The following is a 20562-nucleotide window of genomic DNA, read 5'->3' on the forward strand; positions in this document are numbered from 1 at the left end:
TAGGGCTGGACAAATTTTTGGCAACCAAGAGGCATTACTGGAATAATATGGAAGAGCTCCTCCTTCACTATGAACAGAAATAATTTTATGGTTCCCAACATTAGCTTACTTTCCTTTGTCTTGTTAAAAAATATTCACCATTGACTATGGTGACTATAACTCATGGAGAGATTTTCTCATATTTTCCTATAGAAGATAAGTGATATAAAACTGCTTAGGTATAGAAATATCTAAGTATCCTCCAATGCAAGAAAAAATATTCCTAAGTGAAAATGACATGAAATTGGGATACTCAACAAATATTGAGCCCTATGACACCTCTCTCTTCTGCTTTTTCTTCTACCCTCAGCTTGGCTGAATAACTCTTTATTCATCAGCTCTTTAAATGAAGTTCTGTCCTGTGCACTCTCGGCTCTTCTCACTGCCAAAGCCTGAAAGGCCAAGACTTCTTGTACCTGCATGTACAATGTGAATCTATCATCTCTCTCCATCACCTCACTATCCCACATCACTTCCCACAACCCTCTACCTATCACCACCTTCTGCTGTTTCTCCTGCATTATTTCATCTGTGCTTGCCAGAAATTTGGTATTCATTCTAGAAAGGAGTAAGGATAAATTGTGTGGGCTTTGAGGGTTAAGTTACTCCAGATGCTACCACATTCTAATTAAATGAACTATCAGCAAGATTATATCGAGACAAGGTATCTCTCTGTCACCCAGGCTGGAGTGCAGTGGCGTGATCACAGCTCACTGTAACCTCAAACTCCTGGGCTCAAGTGAGGCTCCCCCTTCAGCCTCCTGAGTAGATGGGAGGGACTACAGGTGCACACAACTATGCCTGGCTAATTCTTGTATTTTTTGTAGAGATGGGGGTCTCACCATTTTGCTCAGGCTGGTATTGAACTCCTAGTTTCAAGTGATCCTCCCACCTCAGCCTCCCAATTTGCTGGGATTACAAGCATGAGACCTCAATCATTTTAACCATGGTAAAGTTGGTAAATGAAAAATAACTCACCATTGTTTTAATTTGAATTGATAATTACTGAGCATGAACTTTTAAGACTGTATCCCTACGAAATTTTTTCTTTTATCTCCATTTTTCTATTGGTCGAGGCTCTGGAGACAGAAGGATATGGACTTGGTTTTTGGCTTGCTAGATGCGCAAAGTTGGACAAATTACTTAGCCTTTCTGAGCTTCGGTTTCTTCATCTTTGAAGTGGAAATAATAACAGATTAATCTTACAGAATAGTGCTATCTTTCTGGATTGTGAAAATAATGAGACAATACTTGTAAAGCATTTATTATTATAGTGTTTGAAACATAGAAAGTGCTCAGTGAACGTTAGCTGTTATTATTATTTGGCTCTTTATAGATTAAAAAGAATTACTGTTCGATATTCACAAATCTCATTTCTTCATTAATTTCTCCCATCTACTCAAATGTCACCTCAACAGCAAGAACTTCCCTGATCATCAAATTTTCACACAGCAACCAACCCCAGCAGTATTCCCCTACCTTGCGAAACTGGGTTGAGTTGCGGCCTTTCAAAAGATATGTCCAAATCTTAACCCCCAGTAATCGTAAATGTGAACTTCTTTGGAAATAGGATCTTTGCAGATGGGTTCCAGTTAAGATGAGGTCACACTCAGTAAGGGTAGGCCCTGAATCCAATGACACATACAGGCACACAGGGAGACTGCTATGTGACAACAGAGACAGAGACTGGAGTGATGGGTCTACAAGCCAGAGAATGCCAATGATTGCCAGTAACCACCAGAAGGGGGAAGAGGCAAGGAAGGATCATCCTCTAGAGCTTTCAGAGGGAACATGGCCCTACTGATACCTTGATTTCAGACTTCTCATTTCCAGAACTGTGAGAGAAAACATTTCTGTTGTTCTAAGGCACCCAGTTTCTGGTACTTTGTTATGGCAGTCCTAGAAAACAACTACATTTGCCTAATTTTTCTGCATAGCACTTATCATCTGACATGCTAAATATTCATTTTGTTTATTATCTGTTTTCTCTCATTAGAATATAAGATCTGCGAGAGCAGGGACTTTGTTCATACTGATTCTTTAGCATTAAGAGGGTGCCTGAGGCCGGGTGCAGTGGCTGACGCCTGTAATCCCAGCACTTTGGGAGGCCAAGGTGGACGGATCACCTGAGGTCAGGAGTTCGAGACCAGCCTGGCCAACACAACGAAGCCCATCTCTACTAAAAATACAAAAATTAGCTGGATGTGGTGGCATGCACCTGTAGTCCCAGCTACTTGGGAAACTGAGGCAAGAAAATCGCTTGAACACCCTGGAGGCAGAGGTTACAGGAAGCCAAGATTGCACCACTGCACTCCAGCCTGGGTGACAGAGTGAGACTCAAATGAAAACAAAAAAAAAAGAGGGTGCCTGGTACATAATAGATGCTCAATAAACGTCTCCCAAATGGATGAATGAATAAAGGATATTTACCATTCTGTGTCCTACATTAAACACCATGATTTTTTAGTTTGTCTTTTGCTTTTTAATTTTAAGATAGTTTTTGATGTGGTTTTATTGTTCAAATTGATATTTTTGTCAGTGGTTTCTGTCACCTATGTTATGTTTGAAACCACTTTTCCCAGTCTCATGGTCATATATGCACCTTATTTTCTTCTTAATCTTTCATAGTCTAATCCTTTTTTAAAATGTTATAAAAATTGTAAATAAAAGTAGAGAGAATAATGTAATGTGCAGTGTGCAGTTTCACTGTTTATATTCAACCCTCTATCCATCTGGAATTATTTTGATGTGTGGGATGTGGGAGAGTTCTAGCTGTTTGTTTTGTTTGTTTTCAAAGATAGCTAACCAAATATTCCAACAACTTTTATCGACTAATCCATCTTTTCTTTACCAATTTTGAATAGCTCCTTAATGATAATCTAAATACTTACATATACTTCAATCAAAACAGGAATCTCAACAATAGACATCTATTTTTGCATTAGCATCACTTTTTAAATGCTGCTTTATAATAAGTTTTAATACATGTTAATACAAGTTCCTCTTTGTGATTTTTTTCTCTGTGTTTTCTTTTTCATTAAAAAACATTTTTTTCAGAGACAGCGTCTTACTATGGTTGCCCAGTCTGGTCTTCTGAGCTCAAACAATCCTCCCGCCTTGGCCTCCCAAAGGACTAGGATTACAGGCATGAGCGGCTGTGCTCTGCCTCCCAGTATTTTCTTGACTATTCTTCCCTGTTTATTCTTACATATGAACTTTAGAATTATGGTGGTTTGGAAACCGTCCCTTTGAGATGTTGATTGGAATTGTATTAAATGTACCCATGTACTTGTAGGATCCCATTGAGATGTTGATTGGAATTGTATTAAATGTGCCCATGTATTTGTAGGAGAAATCTGTCTCTTGTCTTTCTCCCTCTGCCTCTGTCCTGATGCAAATCCTCATCTCCCATCTGTAAAATAGCCTCCTAACTGGCTTCCAGCACAGTGGTCTCCCAGCCAGACTCCACATTGTCTTCAGAGAGATCTTATTAAAATGGTAAATTTGGGGTTCACTGCTTGAAATTGTTAAGTGACTACCCTTTCCATCTGGGACAAGGTTCTGTGATCTGGCCCTGGGCCACCTGTCCTCTCACACACACCAGACATTCTGAACTAAACGCTGTTCTTTGGAAGAGCTCCCATCTGATGTCTTCCTTCCCTTGCTTTTTGCAAAACGACTCTTCCTAAAACACCCCTCGTTGGCCTTCTTTGCCTGCCTTAATGCCCCTCAGGAACCGCCCCAACACTGCCTCTGGGAAGTACTTCCTGACCCAGCCACGCTCCATCCCTGGCCTGGGTTACTTGCCTTCCTCCAGGCCTCCAAACTTCTAGCAGGCATTGATCATATTGGTCCCTAATTTGTTTATTTACTCAAACCTTGAGCAAGTCATTTCTTCCTGGTTCTCAGTTTCCTCACCTAATAAAGAATAAAGCTGGACTCTGATCTGTAAGTAGGGATTCTTTCAGCTACAATTTTATACCATAACTTCCCCTCCTTTTTGCTATATGTCCCTTGTTTCAAAACTAATATGACTGACAATTGCCAAAAAAGCAACTTCCAAGTTGACATATGTTTAGGCTCATTCATACCTGTGCCACATTGACTCTTCTGTCTAGGGGAATGAATGCCCATACTGATGACCTTGGAAAGCCATGGGATATTAAACTACCATCTGAACCAAAGATAGAAATTATACCTGGCAGTGCTTCTACTGAACTTACTGTAATTATTTAAAAATGAGCAAGCTATATATGTCGTATGTAGATATTACTAATTTTGCCCATGATTAATGACTTAAATTAACCCATTCCCAAGTATTCTAGACAAATGACTTCAATGCAAAACACTTGAAGAATTATTGGATAAGTCTGAGGTGAACAAAGGCGGAGCTGGGTGAAGCCGATGGAGCGGAGTTGCAGCACCTGGTGGCCGCCGAACAGCAGAAGGCGCAGTTTACTGCACAGGTGCATCACTTCATGGAGTTATGTTGGGATAAATGTGTGGAGAAGCCAGGGAATCGCCTGGACTCTTGCACTGAAAATTGTCTCTCCAGCTGTGTAGACCACTTCATTGACACCACTCTTGCCATCACCAGTCGGTTTGCCCAGATTGTACAGAAAGGAGGGCAGTAGGCCATCCCCCAGGAGAATGACAGAAGCAAAGGACTTATTATTAAGCAGACTTAAGGGCCAGTGGGGGAAGGCTGTCAACCCATTGTCAGATCAGCATCAGGCTGTTATCAAGTCTGTTGGTCCTAAAAAGTAAAAGATGAAATGTTCAAAAAAAAAAAAAAAAGAATTATTGGATTAGTCTAACTTGAGCAAATATAGAATCAGAATTTTTGAAGCTAGAAAGGGTCCTCAGATCATCAAGTTCGGCCCTAACTTTAGGTGAGGGAATTGACTCTAGTGGGCAGAGTGGCCTACCCTAAGGAACACAGCTCCTCCACACAAGCCTATTAAAAGTGGAAACTGCAATAACTGACTGCATACTAGCCACGTTAGGTAAAGCACCAGTGAACCACTAGGACAATAAATTTGTATTATTAAAGTGGAGGTTTGGTGGTGTTAAGGATTACAACAAATAAGCTTTAATCCCCTCTTTTACTGAGCTACTTTATTAAAGGGCGGGAGACCCTTTTCTTTGCTGCCACATCAAACTTAACTATGATTAGGCACCAACAACGTAGTCAGCACTAGACAACACAGGAAATACCTGTAGTTATTTATGTTTGTATAATTGCCTCAAGCATTAGTCACTTTTAAAAAATTACACACACATACTTAATACTGGACGACAGAATTTACTACCCTAAGTCTCTTTTCATTAAGATTTCACTTCATCACTAACAATTAAAATCCATCCCCCCAGCCGCCACCACCAGAGAACTTACTTAACCCACATATCCTTGAGGTAGACCAATGTTATCACTGTATTTCCCCTAATGAGGAAATTGAAGCCTTAGGCAACTAGCTCAAGATTAAAATGCAATTCAGAGAGAGTTCCTCTTACTGATTAAAATGGACTGATGTTATGAGGAAAAATCAAAAGGGTTTCAAAATTAGAAAATTCCATGGCACCAGGAAGTAAGAATGACACATACTGATACCATCTTTTAGTTTGGCAGCACCTTTTTGATGAGAACTAAATGTTCATGTTGGCAGACAGTAAAACTACCACAAGCCTCGTTTCTTCATTTGCCAAATACATGATGTTAAAGATTAACATTAAAATATGAAACATAGAACTGGAAAGCAAGCCAGTCCCTGCTTCGAGTTCTTTTAATTTTATGAAGTTTAAAATAAACAACTTCCTTTGTTAACTTTGTCCTAGAAGCTGTCGTTAGCTGTTTTCGAGCAGTGGTTCTGCAAGTATGGTGTCTTGACCAGCAGCATCAGCTCCTAGGGAAAGGTTAGAAATGCAATTCCTTACCTGTAATGCCAGCACTTTGGGAGGCCAAGGTGGGTGGATCTCTTGAGGTCAGGAGTTCGAGACCAGCCTGACCAACATGGTGAAACCCCGTCTCTACTAAAAGTACAGAATTAGCCAAGCGTGGTGGCGCACGCCTGTAATCCCAGCTACTCAGGAGGCTGAGGCAGGAGAATCACTTCAACCCGGAAGGTGGAGGTTGTGGTGAATGAGAGATCGGGCCATTGCACTCCAGTCTGGGCAACAAGAGCGAAACTCCGTCTCAAAAAGAAAAAAATAAAGAAATGCAATTCCTTAGGCCCCATCCAGACCTATTGAATGAATCTCTGGAGATGGGGTTGGCTGGCTGTGTCTTAGTAAGTGCTAAAGTTTTAAGAACCACTAGAGGATCCAAATAACTTTTGGTGTTCAGTCTCAAACCACTAATTAGCTGCGCATGAGAAATTTCTGCTTTAGGTTAGTCACCCTATGGAGCCCCCGAACCCTAAATATTAACAGTAGGCCCACATCCAGGTTTCCATCTGCTAGACTCCAAAGCAAGGCAGCAGCCATCCCTCTCAGTAGCCCTGCCACCAAATCCTCTTCTCCGAGAACCCCAAAACAGAGTTTGATTGACAAGTTCATTCTTCTCTCCTGTCAGACCTCAAAATGTGCCCAGTTCCTTAAAGGTATGTGTCCCATTGGTTTACAACTCTTCATTCCCTTCCTAAGAATGAGCACGTGTACTAAAACAAAATTAGTACATGTCATCCAAATATTGTCAGGGTAATAAAATTCCTAAAATTAGGCATCTTGGTGCTTTATGTAGATGCAAACTTGAAAAGCAGCTATGTCCAAGTTTTCCTTTAGGATCCTCCCAAGAGATATTTTACAAACTCCTCTAGCATTGCTAATTATTTTTTTTAAAAAAAAAAGAGTCATTTTTTCAGATCTATAAATTTCATTTATTTTGAGGTTCATTCACATTCAGTAACAATCTGATCATTCACCAAAGTTCCAAAACACATACTTTATAAATTAGCTATCATAGTTTTTAGAAATCCAAATATATTTCAAATTATTTTTTAATAGCAGCAACTAGAGAAAGGATTTTTTACCATCTAGCTTACTGTAGCGCTGATCAGGAATGTCGCCAACAAAGGTCCTGCGGTTTACAGATGGATACCGTGCAATTTTTCTCCTATGATACTCATCAAAATTGCATCGTGATCCACCCGACAACAGCAAAACAGATCATTTTACAATGACTAAATATCAGAACTTACGGCTTTTAAAAGTTAAAATAAGAAGACGATAAAAATCCTCCTTTCTTCCACAGGCCGGGACAAGTGCAATACTTTATATAGAACACAAGTAATGCAACAAATCCCCACCCAGGGATGAATGGGCATGAGTGCTGGAGATACGCATGAAGGTGTGTTCACACAGACGTAGGAAGCACACATTATCACAATCAGTTTTGCATGGATTTGCACAGCCACATATACATATATACGCTGAAATGCAAACCTGCAAAACTAATTGTAAGTAGCAATGTCTTTGAATATTCTCTCCATCAACAAGAGATTTGTTATCCAAGAGTACTGGAAGTGCCCATACTACAGTAGAGTCATGCCAAAACTACCTGCACTATGAGCACTTTGGTACTACTAGGACCCAATCTTATCCTCTGTACACAACTGTACACTGCACAGTCCCCACCATCTGTTCCCAACAAACAATAAAAAGGCAAAAAACAAACCACTGAAATGTGTCCTATTCAAATTACTACTCAAGGCATACTTTTAAAATGCTGTATATTAGGCAGCCTGTGCCAGAAGGGGCATTTAGGGCAGTAGATTCTAAGCTGCTTCACTAACTGCACTAGATGCACCTTAACACAAGAGACACATTATAAGAAGCAGCTCAAAAGCATCAACTACTTAATTATGCACAAACTACAGTTCTCAGTAGCCATTGACTAAATCACCATGGTAATGTAAGAAGTGCTTACATTGCAGTAGATCTCAAAAAGCTACCTGCACTGTAAGCACTTTTACATGGCCAAGGCCTATTCCTGTAGCAAAATTTTAAGTCTTCCAGGAGCTCTTCTTTTCCGTCCTCACAGATCCATGCAGACTCACCTGGTTAAAACAACAAAACAAACACACACATATTAGAAACTAAACAAGTAAACTACTAGTTAATATTCCTGAAACAGGCTTTCCTTTGGCTTACAGAGTCTAAGCTAGGTTTTGTGGTTTCAACCAAATCCTGAGAAATATTAATAATCTCAATTATTTACACAGAATTGAACACGAATAACACTGGCAACTGCAAAAAGTCCAATTCTTATGTATAAGCAGATTTTGGACTCCCCCTCTCCATCTAAGAAAATTTGATATCTGCATCTCAGTAATTTGCAGGCACATTCTATCCACCCTGATTTTATAAGAGGAGGACCTAGAGAAAGGAGCATGTAAAACCCAGGATGAGTATTCGAGTCTTCAGATCATTCAGAGCTTTTGGGCTCCATACGGAAAGTGACTGTTAGATTAAATGAATATTCCCAGCCCCCACCCCATTAATAGAAAATGAGAGAAATTTTAGAGCTGGTTTAAGAAACACAGCCTTACAGTCTTCACATAATGCACAGATGGCTGAGAGATGTCACATTTTGATCTATTTCAAAGGGCTCTACTTCTGTTTAAACATTTATGGACCCATTTTCTCCATTAAACCAAAGTAGGCAGATTAGCTCTTCTTCCCTTCATGTCATTATCTTCCATAAGAAAACCTTCTCCCATTTCCAAGTGCTTATTTTACCTAAGAACATACAGCAAGGAAGTGAGCCTCTATGTGAAAAAGGCTCACAGGGTCCCCTATCTCTTCCATGATGGGGTAACTTTTGTTTAAAAGAAAAACAAAAACGTTTGGGACAGAATCTGTAATACGTTAAACGAGTGAGGGAATTTTAAATGTTGAACTTTCGTCACGATATCTTATGCCACTAAATGAGTCTTTAGAAGTCTTTACAAACTAAACTGATTTATAAAACTTATACATCAATCTGGAATCAATTTTCTATTAGGGAAGAATGGATTTAGTATAGAAATGAGAAAAATAACATTTTTCCCCTTAAATTGGGTTTCTACACCTGTGAAGATTTCTTTTCCATTAAAAAAAAAATACTCCAAACTTGACTCAAAATGCATAGTATTTGCCAACCCAACCTGGCCAAACTGAGCCCCACAGCCATCAGACAGGGCGCCCTTCTAGTTACTACCTTTTGCTAATTAGCGGTTCATCTGGCATCCCTCGCGCACGCTGGGCAGTCACTCTCCAATCCCCTTAAATTGCAAATAATAATAATAATAATAAGGAAAAGAAAGAAAGAAGTCCTTCCCTGTACGCCTTTGTGGCTCCCTTTTGCCTCTTCCCGCGTCTCTCACACCCTTACCTAATGCTCCCGTTGAAGTCCGCGAGCAGCCCGCGCGTCCAGGGTGTGCTCCAGCTGCTCACACCACGCGCTCCAGTCCTCGTGCAGCCTCAGCCGCCGCCGAAATTAAAGAGAAAGAAACAAAGCATCATGGGAAACGGAGTTCTCCATTCAAAGCACCAAAAACGCGCCAAGCCCACGCCTCCCTCCCCCTCCATTCCCGGGTTGGTGGGATAGAAGCCAAGAGGGAGGGGAGTCCCTTTTTTCCCTCCACGTGCACCCCCTCATTTCACACCCTCACCACCAAAGTTTTCCAGGAACCTAAAGGTCAACGGTGGAGAAGAAAAGGGGAGTCGTTTCCCGCGCGCTGCCCGCTACCCCTCAACCGCACTCTGGTACTTTGCTTTTCTCAAGTCCCGCCCGCTCCGTCCCCTCCCACCCAACCAGTCAACTCTACCGGATCACAGCTGCCCCAACGAAGGGCTCCCTTCTTGCCCAGCCACCCGCTCGGGAAACCGCGCGCGGGACCCAGCTCCGGCCCGCCCCTCGCAGGTGGAGAGCGCGGGGATCCCGCACGGGCCGCCCTCTCCGGGTGTCCCCTCCACACGTATACCCAGTGTCCCAGCGCGCAGCTCGAGCGCTCCGGGGCCGGGTGCGAGCGCAGTCTCCCGCGGAGCCAGAAGGGGAAGAGAAGTGAGAAAAAGCGTCCACTAAATGGATCAAGGCCGCGAGCGCACATCTCACCCCAAAGCGCCCCTGTCCAGAGCGACGCGGGGCCACGAGCCTCCCTGCCACCACTTGAGGAGCGCTCCGTCCCCTTGGCCCTCTGTCCGTAGCTATATCCCTGGGAAAAGCCCGCCCCTCTGCCTTTAATAGCCCAAGGAAAAAAGCCCGCCCCCGCCCACCCGGCCCGCACAGGAATTAGGAAACGGAACCCCCACCCCGCCAAAGCGAAAACCCCACCGAGCCCCAGTTACCCACGGGCGGACCGCAGTCGGCATTTTCCCTTCTCTCTTCCCCCAAGCTGGAGTCCTTAATTAAAGGCGCGCCTGGGACAGCGGCCCAGGCAGAGGCCGTGGCCGGAGCCGGTGCGGGTGCCACCGGCATCCGGGCCAGGATGGCGCACTCACTACCACCTTGTCCCATCTCGCTCCCGCGGCGCTCGCCTCAGCCCCCCACCGGAGACAGACGACGAGGCCCACGGAGCCGTGGGACAGGGGTGTCCCCCACCCGGCGCGCGCATGCGCGCCACCTCGCCGCTAGATTGAAAGTGTTCCTAAGGCCCGAGGAGGGAAGAAATAGAAACACGACTTACTCTCTGCACATGTGAAAGTTTTAACCCCTAGCACCTTGTGCTACTGTTGGGAGGCTTTCGCCCTTGCCAGGCGCCCTCTTCACCCACTAAATCAGGGTTTCTTGGCAGGTATCGTTAACGGTAGCAGCCACCGAATACACGCGCAAATGTGCGGAAGATACGGTGCAATTATCTTGCTTTCTCCTCTCATTCCACCGCTAATGAGAACCAATTGAGGGCGGGCTGCTTCAAGGCCAAAGCCCGACAGCGCTCTGTAGAATAAAATGATGTCTTAGTTTAAGACGCACAATCAAAATGGAATTAAGCATACCAGACTTTGAACACCGGGCAAAATGAGAGACAACCGGGCTATATACCTTCTCCGCGTCCCTGGCGGACACAGGCGCAAGATGGGATTTGGGGAGCGTGCGGGGGTTGGGGGGGTGGGCGGGGGTGTGCAGGGTACGAGGTTACAAATCAGAGACCAGTGAGCACGCTGGGTCGGAGGAGGAAAGCCCTGGAAGGCAAGCGGGGGGCAAGGAAGGAGGGAAGGGGTGCAAAATGAAGCCGGACCCCTCCCTTTCCACCATTGTTACCAGGGTGATTGTGGCAGCCCAAAGCCCAGAAGAGGACAAGGGCGCCATGTGATTCTCAACCTGGTGCACTGGTGCACAGTAGTAGCTCAGGCAAACATTACAAAAGACTGGCCTCTCCCGCCCCTGGCCCGCGAAAGAGTCCAACCTGAACTGCCAGCGCCCCTCAGGAGTCAGCGGTGGATGCAACGAAAACCACAATCATTTCTCCAACGCGAGTCACTCGCACAGGTGGGCTTCCTCCCCTTTTTCATGCAACAGACCTTGCAGCCTACCCTGGCACGTCTGCGTGATACTTTCTGGAAACTACGCAGCCCGAAGTTTACTACCCAACCAGATCCCTCCTGTGAGATTGCACCGACTGCAATGCAACTTTCGACCTTTAATGGTAACGACTAGCAGTGGAAAGAAGAGGAGGGGGAGGGAAGAGAACTTAGACCCGACTTTAAGAAGCGTTGTATTAAAGCAAGATAAGAACAGTACCTTTGAGCTGGAGCAAAACCTGGAGTAAAAAAAAGGGTTTTTGCGAAAGTGGCGCGAAGATAATATCATGTGATCCGACCCCAGGGCGTCTCCTTCCCCTTTTGCCAAACTCCCCTCCCCTCGAAAAAAGGGGGGTTGGGGGAGCTACATCCGCTCCTCACAAACTATTAGCATAATTAATTGTGTCCTACAGCTGCAGCCAGAGCTCCCGGGTCAATGAGTAAACATATCCTCATCCTCTTCAACATCAGAACAAAAAAACCCATTACCCTGATTTTGGAAAATGTTCCCAAATAAATCTCATTATCTTCAAAAGTCTTTATTTGGTATTCGGAGTCTATGTGTCTTGGTTGGAGAGACAGAAGAAGGTTGGAAAAGATGAAATCATCCTATTAAAGGGAACAAGTAGAAGTAACTCCCCAAGAGTGACATATTTAAGTAAAGGTTTTCAAATGGAAATACCGTGTTGAGGGACTTCACTAGCTTAAAATTTTCCAAAAGTTTTAGCAGTTCATTAAACAAGACATCCTCCCAGTCTTCCTATTCGCCACCCCCCATCTCCCACCCCTCCTCCCAGTCCTCCTTCCCTTTAAAGCTAGAACAATACCCGGAATAAGGTATTTTGAGATTGCTTTACCAGGATATTTTCTTGTTCTTAATTTTTTTTAAGGGTTTGCAACATATAGAATGTCTGGATCAAGTTCCCAACTGGCGAAAATAATTTATTCCATCTCAGTACCTGTCTAGCACAAGGTAAAACTAACTAAGTACAAGATATAGGTTATGAGAAACTAGGACATTTTGATACACCAAATGATTTATTTTTGTCTCTTTCTTTTGGAAAAAAAATTTAATCATCGGCCAAAATACCTAGAGAATCAAAAAAATCTAAAGAACAAAGCATTTCACACACACCCCCCCCAAAAGTCAGAATAACTAACAGCTCAAAGAAAAGCACGTGATCCCTTCATGCTTTAAAACTTGTGGTCATGCTGAGGCTAAAAGCAAAGAGCTTGTGACCCCGCAACCCCGTCCCCTCCCCCAGACCACAGCCCAGGGCTTAAGGCTCCAGGCTCCCACCGGGCTCCTGCTCGCTCCCAGTATTGTGAGACAAACAATACTTAGGCATTCTGCAAAATAAAGGAGCCACAACTCCTATCCCCCAGTCACATCATTTATGACCAAACAGACTGGCCGGTGTGCGTATATACGCATGTATGTAAATATGATATAGAATACATGCCTACACGAAAGCCCAGATGTTCTGTCAGAATGTGTAAGAAAGGTATGGAAACTGGCCAAAGGGAGGGAGAACTTGTTATCTTTCGTGAGCCTAAGGATTCTCATCACAACTTTAAATTCTTGACACTATTTTGAGTTTATGATGGATTCAAAGAAAAACGGTGAATGCCCAGCAAAATATTCCCCTCAAAATAGACCCACTTTGAGCTTTCCTCTGCCTTGAAAAGGGGTGAAGGGATTCTTCTGTATTGACCTCTAGATTTAATTATGCCATATAAAGCAGCAATCTCAAGTAGTTTGGATTTGAACACCTTTAAGAATAAAATTGACATTTTACCCAGTTGAGAAATCATGTTACTTGATTTAGAAATAATATTAAGTGGCTTTGTTAAACCTAATGATTGGTATCTTAGAACAAAAAGGTCCCCATGGAAACCAGAAAGTAATTTAAGAGTATTATGTTCCTCACACAACTAGAATAGAGCTTTTGTTCTATGTGTATTTACTACTCTACATTTTTGAACTACACTTGCAATTAAGGTCTGTTACACTCTGGTTTTGCCCAGGATGAGAAGTTTAGTGTCCCACTGAAATATGTGTTTTGCTACATTTGTGTGTTTATGTTCATGTGCTCATGTGCATGCCCATGAGGCCTAAAACAAAGCCAGCAGATCAGAACACTCACTAAACAGAATGGAGGCGGAAGATCCCAAACAAAATATTTCAAATGCTATTTTGCTATTTGATCCTAGAGCAGGAACTGTGATTTCATTAGAAGTCTATCAAAACTGGTCTTCACTAACTTTATTTTTTAAACGAAGTATTCCTTCATTTGCAAACATTTCATAGTTTTTAGATGAATCAATCTTCTTTTGAATGCCAATCATACTAACACAAATCAGCCTGAAAAAATGAAATTTGAATTTTTTGGACCAGGCCTTAATTTGTTTATGAAAATTTATGTCAGCAGAACAAAGAGAAAAATTAGAGTCAGTAATGAATTTCTGAATCTTATTTCTTTTCAATAGCATATGCCAACATAAATCATGTAAATAAAATAAATACATCTTCAACTAAATAGCGTCCATGAGAATGAAATATCAATTTCAAAAGATTTGCCACTTGATAAGAAGCAGAAAATTTCACTAATTGAACATGCACAGTTAATATAACTTAGTTTAAAAAATGTAGAAAGTAAAAATATACTTATCCCAATCTCAAAGGATTTTATGAAGACCAAATGGCACCAGAAGGTGGATCAACTTTTCTGATATACAAATACGTTTAAAATACACATTTTACTAAATTTTACTTGTAAGTAAACCTTACTTTTACAAGCTGGTCTTTGCTAACTTTGATTTTTTAGAATAAGTGTCTATTTACAAACATTTCTTATCTCTAGTAATGATTTAATCTTATTTTAAATCAAAAGAGTAATCAAATTAAAATACAATTAAATTACATCTCACATAATTCAGCTGAAATATGTTGGTACTAGAACTTACAACATGGAGCTAATTTTGCTATTATGTGATGCCTTAAAATTACCTTGTTGTGTGGGTCTTTGCTTTTCTCAGTAGTATGTTAAAACACAATTTCCTCTCACTAACAACCATATTTTTTACATGTCAAATATTTTACATCAAAATATGTGTGCAAATATTGAAAAGATATAAGAATAACCTGCTTGCCATCAGTAGAAAAATTGTTTCTCAAATTAATTCTCCCACCTTGAGAATAGACTCAGTAGACATTAAAGTGATTCACTATTAAGATTAAATAGTGTTAAAGGTATTTTTACACTCTGTTTGAAACACTTTGATTTTCCTGTTTATGTGACCTTAGAAGTGGAACTTCTGGTATTACAAACCATAAAATTGCTAGCAGACTGTAATACTATAATCAAAGAAAAAGCTGTAAACCAGAAATGTTTTACACACATCACTTTTTTCAATCACTTTTCTGATTAAGTTTGTCCATCTTTGCACCATTATAAATTTTCTAAGTGGAAAATATGTCATGGTACGGAACACAATAAAAAATATAGTTTTACATTCAAAACAGTCTCTAAAACGTCATCACCATAACATTGTCTTCCAAAGCAAGTAAATCATGGTATTAAAAATTATCTCATTATTTAATAATCTTACACCAATAAGTCTGTTATTGAAAATGTCATGATTGAGAAGTAAAAACTCTAGATGACAAATATGCTTTTAAGTTAGGAAGCTTTAAGTTATTTAATATTCTGTCTGCTATAACTAAAATAAAGCATGATAATCTTCTACTACCTATGTGCAAAGAGGGCAAAATGGTATTTTTTGGAGCCTCTCTCTTTTTTTCTCCTCAAAGATAACATTTATCCTTAGTTTGGTAGTACTCTGCTAAGCTTAGAGATTCTCTTTAACTGTCTCCTGACTTGTGATTGCTGAAGGAAGTAGAACTATTGTCTGGCCTTTTTTATGCTGAGGAGGAAGGCGCAGTGAAATGTGTTGAATTATCCAGATGCCTGAAAGGACTGCAATGAAAGCTTGCAACAACCTAAATAACAGGGCTAACACTCACTGTAAAAGGGAATCTTTCAACAGATACAGCCTACAGAGGACATCTACTTTTAAAATGAAAGGGGAGATTTTATTTTCTCAAAACAAATGTAATCTAGCTTACTTTTGAAATTTTTGAAAGGATGTCTAAGTCAACAGGAAGACTACTGATTTAAAAATCAAAGATGGAAAGATGAAGTTTTATTATTTAAAATCATATAATTTATGACCCTACTTGGAGCTCTGAGCATATTTTTATTCTTTCAGAAAAGAGTGAGCTGTCCATCTCATCCCTCACTTTTTTAAATCCTAATGAATTTTACTACTTGAAACTTTACTCCCTAAATTTAAAAAATGATTAACATCCCTAAGACGAACTGATCCTTTATAGCTTTCAGTGATCCCATTTCTATAGCTGCTACTTATTAAACCATCTTTAATAATTAAAATGGTTTATGTGCTAGTAGATAAAAGCAAGAAGAAAATGTGCAAGTTATGATCAAGTATGGATTGCATATTTGTGAAAATGTTTAGATATCAAATTGATAAACTTGCTTAACTAAACATTATTCTAGGATCTGTTTTAAGTTTTCAAGAACTTAAGGTTAAAGAAGCAAACATGATATGTTGGTATGTATTACAAAAAGATACTGTATTATAGTATGTTAAACTTTTATGTTTTTTATAATTAATTAACTAGATCAAAGTTCAGTGTTTCCTTGGAGGATATCAAGGCTAATAAACAAAGCCATTTTAAATATAGAGTCTGCTTGTTGATTTTGGAGAAACAGCAAGACAAATAATTCTAGTGAATATCTAGGGTTAAATTATATTTTTAGAATGTAATACTTGACTAATCTGTAAATCCTTTCATAGCTATTTCATTTGCAGTTTTGCTTTAAAGGCCATTTAAACAAAAGCATGGAAACCACTAGATCTTGATGAACAGTGATATGTAACTTCTTTAGAGTAAGATACACACCTTGCAATTACTAATAGCCTTCACACCCAATCATACTACTTTGGGCTTTCTTCAATTTGATCTGAAATAAAATGTGTTTTCTTCCTTTGTGTGTTTTAATCAAGCTTTTTCTGCAGTGCTTTCATGTTTATTCCAGTTGTCAAAAATATAATCTTGCTTCTGACATATTATTTATCAGCGTTATCTGAATATTATATCTTTTATTACTTACTAGATATCCTCAACCCAAGTCATTTTTTAAAATTAAATGTGTCTGAGGATAATCAACAAACTAGAAATTGAATAGACCCCATCAGTTTGGTTAATCACCTAACAAAAGCAAGAACCAATTTTTATTTGCTGTGTTAGTTGGAGTCCTTGTTGTCCCACTCAACTAATTACCCCTCTTCGGTAAGTTTCAAAAGGGTTTTCTTTAAATAGTAGTTTATAACATCTTTAAAATCTGCTGGGTGGGGAGAGTCCTACATTTAGTCAATTTTTACTTTTGTGTCAGAAATTTAAATATAAAAGTTGAGAGGATTCATTTTATACTTTGGTTCATAAACAAAGTGTCCTTTTTAATCCTTGTTTTGGTGTATAGTCCCTTGGTTTTCTGCAATTTCAACTATTTCATTTACAATTCAAACTCACCATTCTTAAACTAATCTCTACACTTGATTAATCCCTGCATGCACACTGCATGTTTTTTAAACTCCAATAACGGTGTTACCAAGTTTATATAAAAGTCTTGATAATATTTAAGACCTAAAGCTCTTAGCAAATTAATTCTAAAATTAATGTTGCTGGCTTTTAACACTACCACATTTGCAGCTACATATCTAGCCTTAGACAGATTAGCACAATTTGCAAAAAGAATCCCAAATTCCAACTTGTCTTTCATTTTGCCTGACTCCTGGTCAAGTGCTTAGGTTCTTTCAATGCTAAGTTTGTGGCAAAATACTATACATAACAGCATCAAACATGGAAATGACTTAGCAGAGAATCTTTTAAAGGATGGTTGGAACCAATATGTTAGGTTTGGCAAGGTCCTCACTGGGCATCTAACCTAATCGCTTCATTTTACAGATGAGGAAACTGGAGCCCCAAAAATGACCTGCCTAAAATGCCTCCACTCATTGTCACAGAGCCAGGATAAAGAAAGACACTATTATGGTCAATTTTAAAAGAAATTTTAAATAGTCCTTGACTGATTTTCAAGCTTGATTTTCCGGTAGGACCGTTATGAAAATTAAATGAGATCGTGTGTGAAATCTACAGATCACACAATGATCACAATGCTTGGCACTTCAGAATGCTCAATAAATGTTCTTTTCCTGCTTTTCTCTTTCCTGCTGATGCCATATGCATATTTCTTAGACTCCTTGCCAAGATCCTGACTTCTCGCTGCCAAAGTTTGGGGCACCAGCAGTGCAAGCAAGGCACAGAGAGAGGGTTTCAGGAGAAAATTTAACAATTTAGTCATTCTCACTATTTAACTACAATCTGATTGTACCAGCTGAAAAGACACATAACGACCATCTTCCCCCTCAAGTGTTCTGAGAAACCTAGCTGTCATACAGGGAAATCTTGCTTGATTTCTCACCCCCTCACATCCCCAGTCCAGATTGGAATCCCAGATCACAGTACCAAATAATGAACATTTGATCATCAAAATGTAACTTTATGTTCATGTTCATAACCTGCAAGTCGACAATTTCCTCACATGTCAATTGTTTCTTAGATTTTTCTTCAACTGTAAGAAGGAGCAACACACGTTACTCCCTGATGCCTTTATATGTACTAATTTAACATTAAAAGAGCTGTTAATATTGTATAAACTGTTATACCATCTGTGTTATAATTCTGTTTCATCAGGTTTTATGGAATGCCCACCCCCCATTTCCTTCATTCCACCAGGCGTGTCATCAAAGGAGAATAAATTAAGTATTGTGCCAGAAAATGTGGTCTACTTTCTAAAAGGCATCTATCTCTAGCTTTCAGAAATGCCTTTCGGAATGAGCAATGTGGAAACAGTGTCCCCATTGTTGTTTAGGAATGTCATGAATTGGATCCCCACCCCAGCCTTTTACAGGGAAAAAGAATAAAAATCGTTCATCTGAGTTTACAATTATCATATTTGATAGCATATGCTAATATGCTAATGAGGTGAGGTATTATCATATCTTTGTTGAGGTCATTATGAATAATTGAGCTTTGTCCATCCACCCAACCAGATTGTAAATTCTGTGATGGTGTAGAGAACCTCAACTTTGTAGTTTTATGAGACCCCTTTCAGAGTGTGTTGACACATCCATTGTTGGCCTAGTGACTAGGTTGAATATTTGCATTGAGGGATATCAGAAATGCCAGCTCCCTTCCACTTTGTAAATTCTTTTTCAACCCTGAGTGTTTACTACCGCCCAGGAACCATATGTAAAGTACCAGATAACATTAGCAATTCTTTAACTGTCTCTAAAAATATGTAACTGAGAGATCAAGCAATGTTCCCCTAGTAAATAAAGATAACTCCGGGGAGTTTCTTTGTAAAGACCTAGACAGCTCATACAGAAGTTCCTTTTGGTGATTTGGAGTAGAAAGGGGTAGGGGAAGATTAAGGGAAGCCAGTTCAATGTGTTAGTTAGAGAGAGGTTTTTGCATCTCAAAGAGGGGGAGGGGTTGAGAATCTAAGAAGACTGAGGCTGGGAATTTGGGCCTTTCCCTTCCCACTGACTGTTCTAACCTCCCTCTCCCAAAACTATGCAGTAGTGTCGAAAAGGACCTGGAGTGAGAAGCTGGAGATCTCAGCTTGAGTCTGTGCTGTGTCACTAACTAGCTGAATGACTTTTTAGCAAATCACTTACTAGATTACCTCTGAGGTCTCTTCCCACTCCATAAATCTTTGCTTTTTATCTCAGTACCCCTCCTCTTTGTTCCTCTTTTGCCCAACCCCACCCCCGTGCTTCTCAGGTCTTCCTTTTAACTGGCAATAATAGTAGTAATGAATTAGTTACCTCTGGAGAGATAACTGAGATGGTGTGCAGATAATTAATGGAGACTAGACTGTGGCTCTTTATCTGTATCATGAACTTTTTCCTTTATTTCCCTGTGTTTTCTTTATTAAGTTATAAATTCTCACAAATTTAAGGTGCTTATTTAAGTATTCAATAATCTGCCAAAAAGGTGTCTCTTTTGTGGGTGTACATGTTAACACAAAACATTTGGTCACAGGAGTGCAGTCAATCAAGAATTAATGTGAAATTATTCCACATAGACCTACTATATAGAAAAATGAGCCATAAAAGTGCCATGAGAGTCTGCAGCTCCAGTTGCATTTTACTTCATCTTCTATGCTATCAGTAAGGGTTTGGGTTTGCCTTCATGTAAGTGAACAGAAGGATTCTGGGAACCTCTTTGACTATGATTGTGTGCAAAGTAGATTAGTAAATTACCTCATGACATGGACACGTGACAGAGATTTGGGCAAATCAATGGTCTCTAGTTCTCTCTCCTCTCATTCTTTAAGGGCCACTTCAAGTCCTACCTCCCATGGGAAGCCTTCCTTAGGTCCAGCACATGGAGATTTCTGCCTTCCCTGAACTACCATAGCACTTGAGTTCCATGCTGCTTCAATTGCATATTTAGGTATTTAGAAAGAGAATAATAAACTGTGGCCTCTGTTTCAGTGCTTGGCTGGTATTACTATTATTATTACATGAGATCTTGCTCTGTCACCCAGGCTGGAGTGCAGTGGCACAATCATAGCTCAATGTAACCTCGAACTCCCAGACTCCAGCAATCCTCCCACCTCAGCCTCCCAAGTAGCTAGGACTACAGGCACACACCACAATGCCCAGCTAATTTTTTAAATTTCTGGTAGAGACAGGGTCTTGCTCTGTTGCCCAGTCTGGTCTCAAACTCCTAACCTCAAGCAATCCTCCTGCCTTGGCCTCCCAAACTGCTGGGATTACAGGTGTTATTGACAGTTTCCAAAGCACATCAGCATGCACATTATTTTGCTTGACATTCACCTGAAATCTGTGAGGTAGATGGTTGAGGTT

The 20562-nt window shown here is 40.4% G+C and overlaps 1 long non-coding RNA gene, 6 other non-coding genes and 1 pseudogene across 7 annotated transcripts, besides 3 other annotated features; 1 reads left to right on the forward strand and 7 right to left on the reverse strand.

Moving 5' to 3' along the window:
- Positions 4407-4823, forward strand: TIMM8BP2 (translocase of inner mitochondrial membrane 8B pseudogene 2; annotated as a pseudogene).
- Positions 6891-11829, reverse strand: MIR106AHG (miR-106a-363 cluster host gene). Its single transcript, XR_007068340.1, has 2 exons — positions 9410-11829; positions 6891-8093 (listed from the first exon to the last, which is right to left on the reverse strand). It is a non-coding gene; the product is annotated as a miR-106a-363 cluster host gene (long non-coding RNA).
- MIR363 (microRNA 363) lies at positions 7119-7193 on the reverse strand. Its single transcript, NR_029852.1, has one exon. It is a non-coding gene; the product is annotated as a microRNA 363 (primary transcript).
- On the reverse strand, positions 7279-7353 carry MIR92A2 (microRNA 92a-2). Its single transcript, NR_029509.1, has one exon. It is a non-coding gene; the product is annotated as a microRNA 92a-2 (primary transcript).
- Positions 7412-7507, reverse strand: MIR19B2 (microRNA 19b-2). The gene has a single exon (NR_029491.1). It is a non-coding gene; the product is annotated as a microRNA 19b-2 (primary transcript).
- Positions 7550-7618, reverse strand: MIR20B (microRNA 20b). The gene has a single exon (NR_029950.1). It is a non-coding gene; the product is annotated as a microRNA 20b (primary transcript).
- Positions 7782-7852, reverse strand: MIR18B (microRNA 18b). The gene has a single exon (NR_029949.1). It is a non-coding gene; the product is annotated as a microRNA 18b (primary transcript).
- Positions 7939-8019, reverse strand: MIR106A (microRNA 106a). The gene has a single exon (NR_029523.1). It is a non-coding gene; the product is annotated as a microRNA 106a (primary transcript).
- Positions 9894-10701: an enhancer, noted in NCBI's record as "NANOG-H3K27ac-H3K4me1 hESC enhancer chrX:133306183-133306990 (GRCh37/hg19 assembly coordinates)". NCBI's record gives its function as "activates a minimal SCP1, AML or CMV promoter by ChIP-STARR-seq in primed H9 embryonic stem cells {active_cell/tissue: H9 hESC(primed)}" and the evidence as "EXISTENCE:reporter gene assay evidence [ECO:0000049][PMID:30033119]".
- Positions 12660-12954: a silencer, noted in NCBI's record as "tiled region #650; HepG2 Repressive non-DNase unmatched - State 24:Quies". NCBI's record gives its function as "represses a minimal TATA promoter and a strong SV40 promoter by Sharpr-MPRA in HepG2 cells {active_cell/tissue: HepG2}" and the evidence as "EXISTENCE:reporter gene assay evidence [ECO:0000049][PMID:27701403]".
- Positions 17976-18538: an enhancer, noted in NCBI's record as "H3K27ac-H3K4me1 hESC enhancer chrX:133314265-133314827 (GRCh37/hg19 assembly coordinates)". NCBI's record gives its function as "activates a minimal SCP1, AML or CMV promoter by ChIP-STARR-seq in naive H9 embryonic stem cells {active_cell/tissue: H9 hESC(naive)}" and the evidence as "EXISTENCE:reporter gene assay evidence [ECO:0000049][PMID:30033119]".

Source organism: Homo sapiens, chromosome X (genome assembly GCF_000001405.40).
Source record: "Homo sapiens chromosome X, GRCh38.p14 Primary Assembly".
Lineage (NCBI taxonomy): Eukaryota > Metazoa > Chordata > Mammalia > Primates > Hominidae > Homo > Homo sapiens.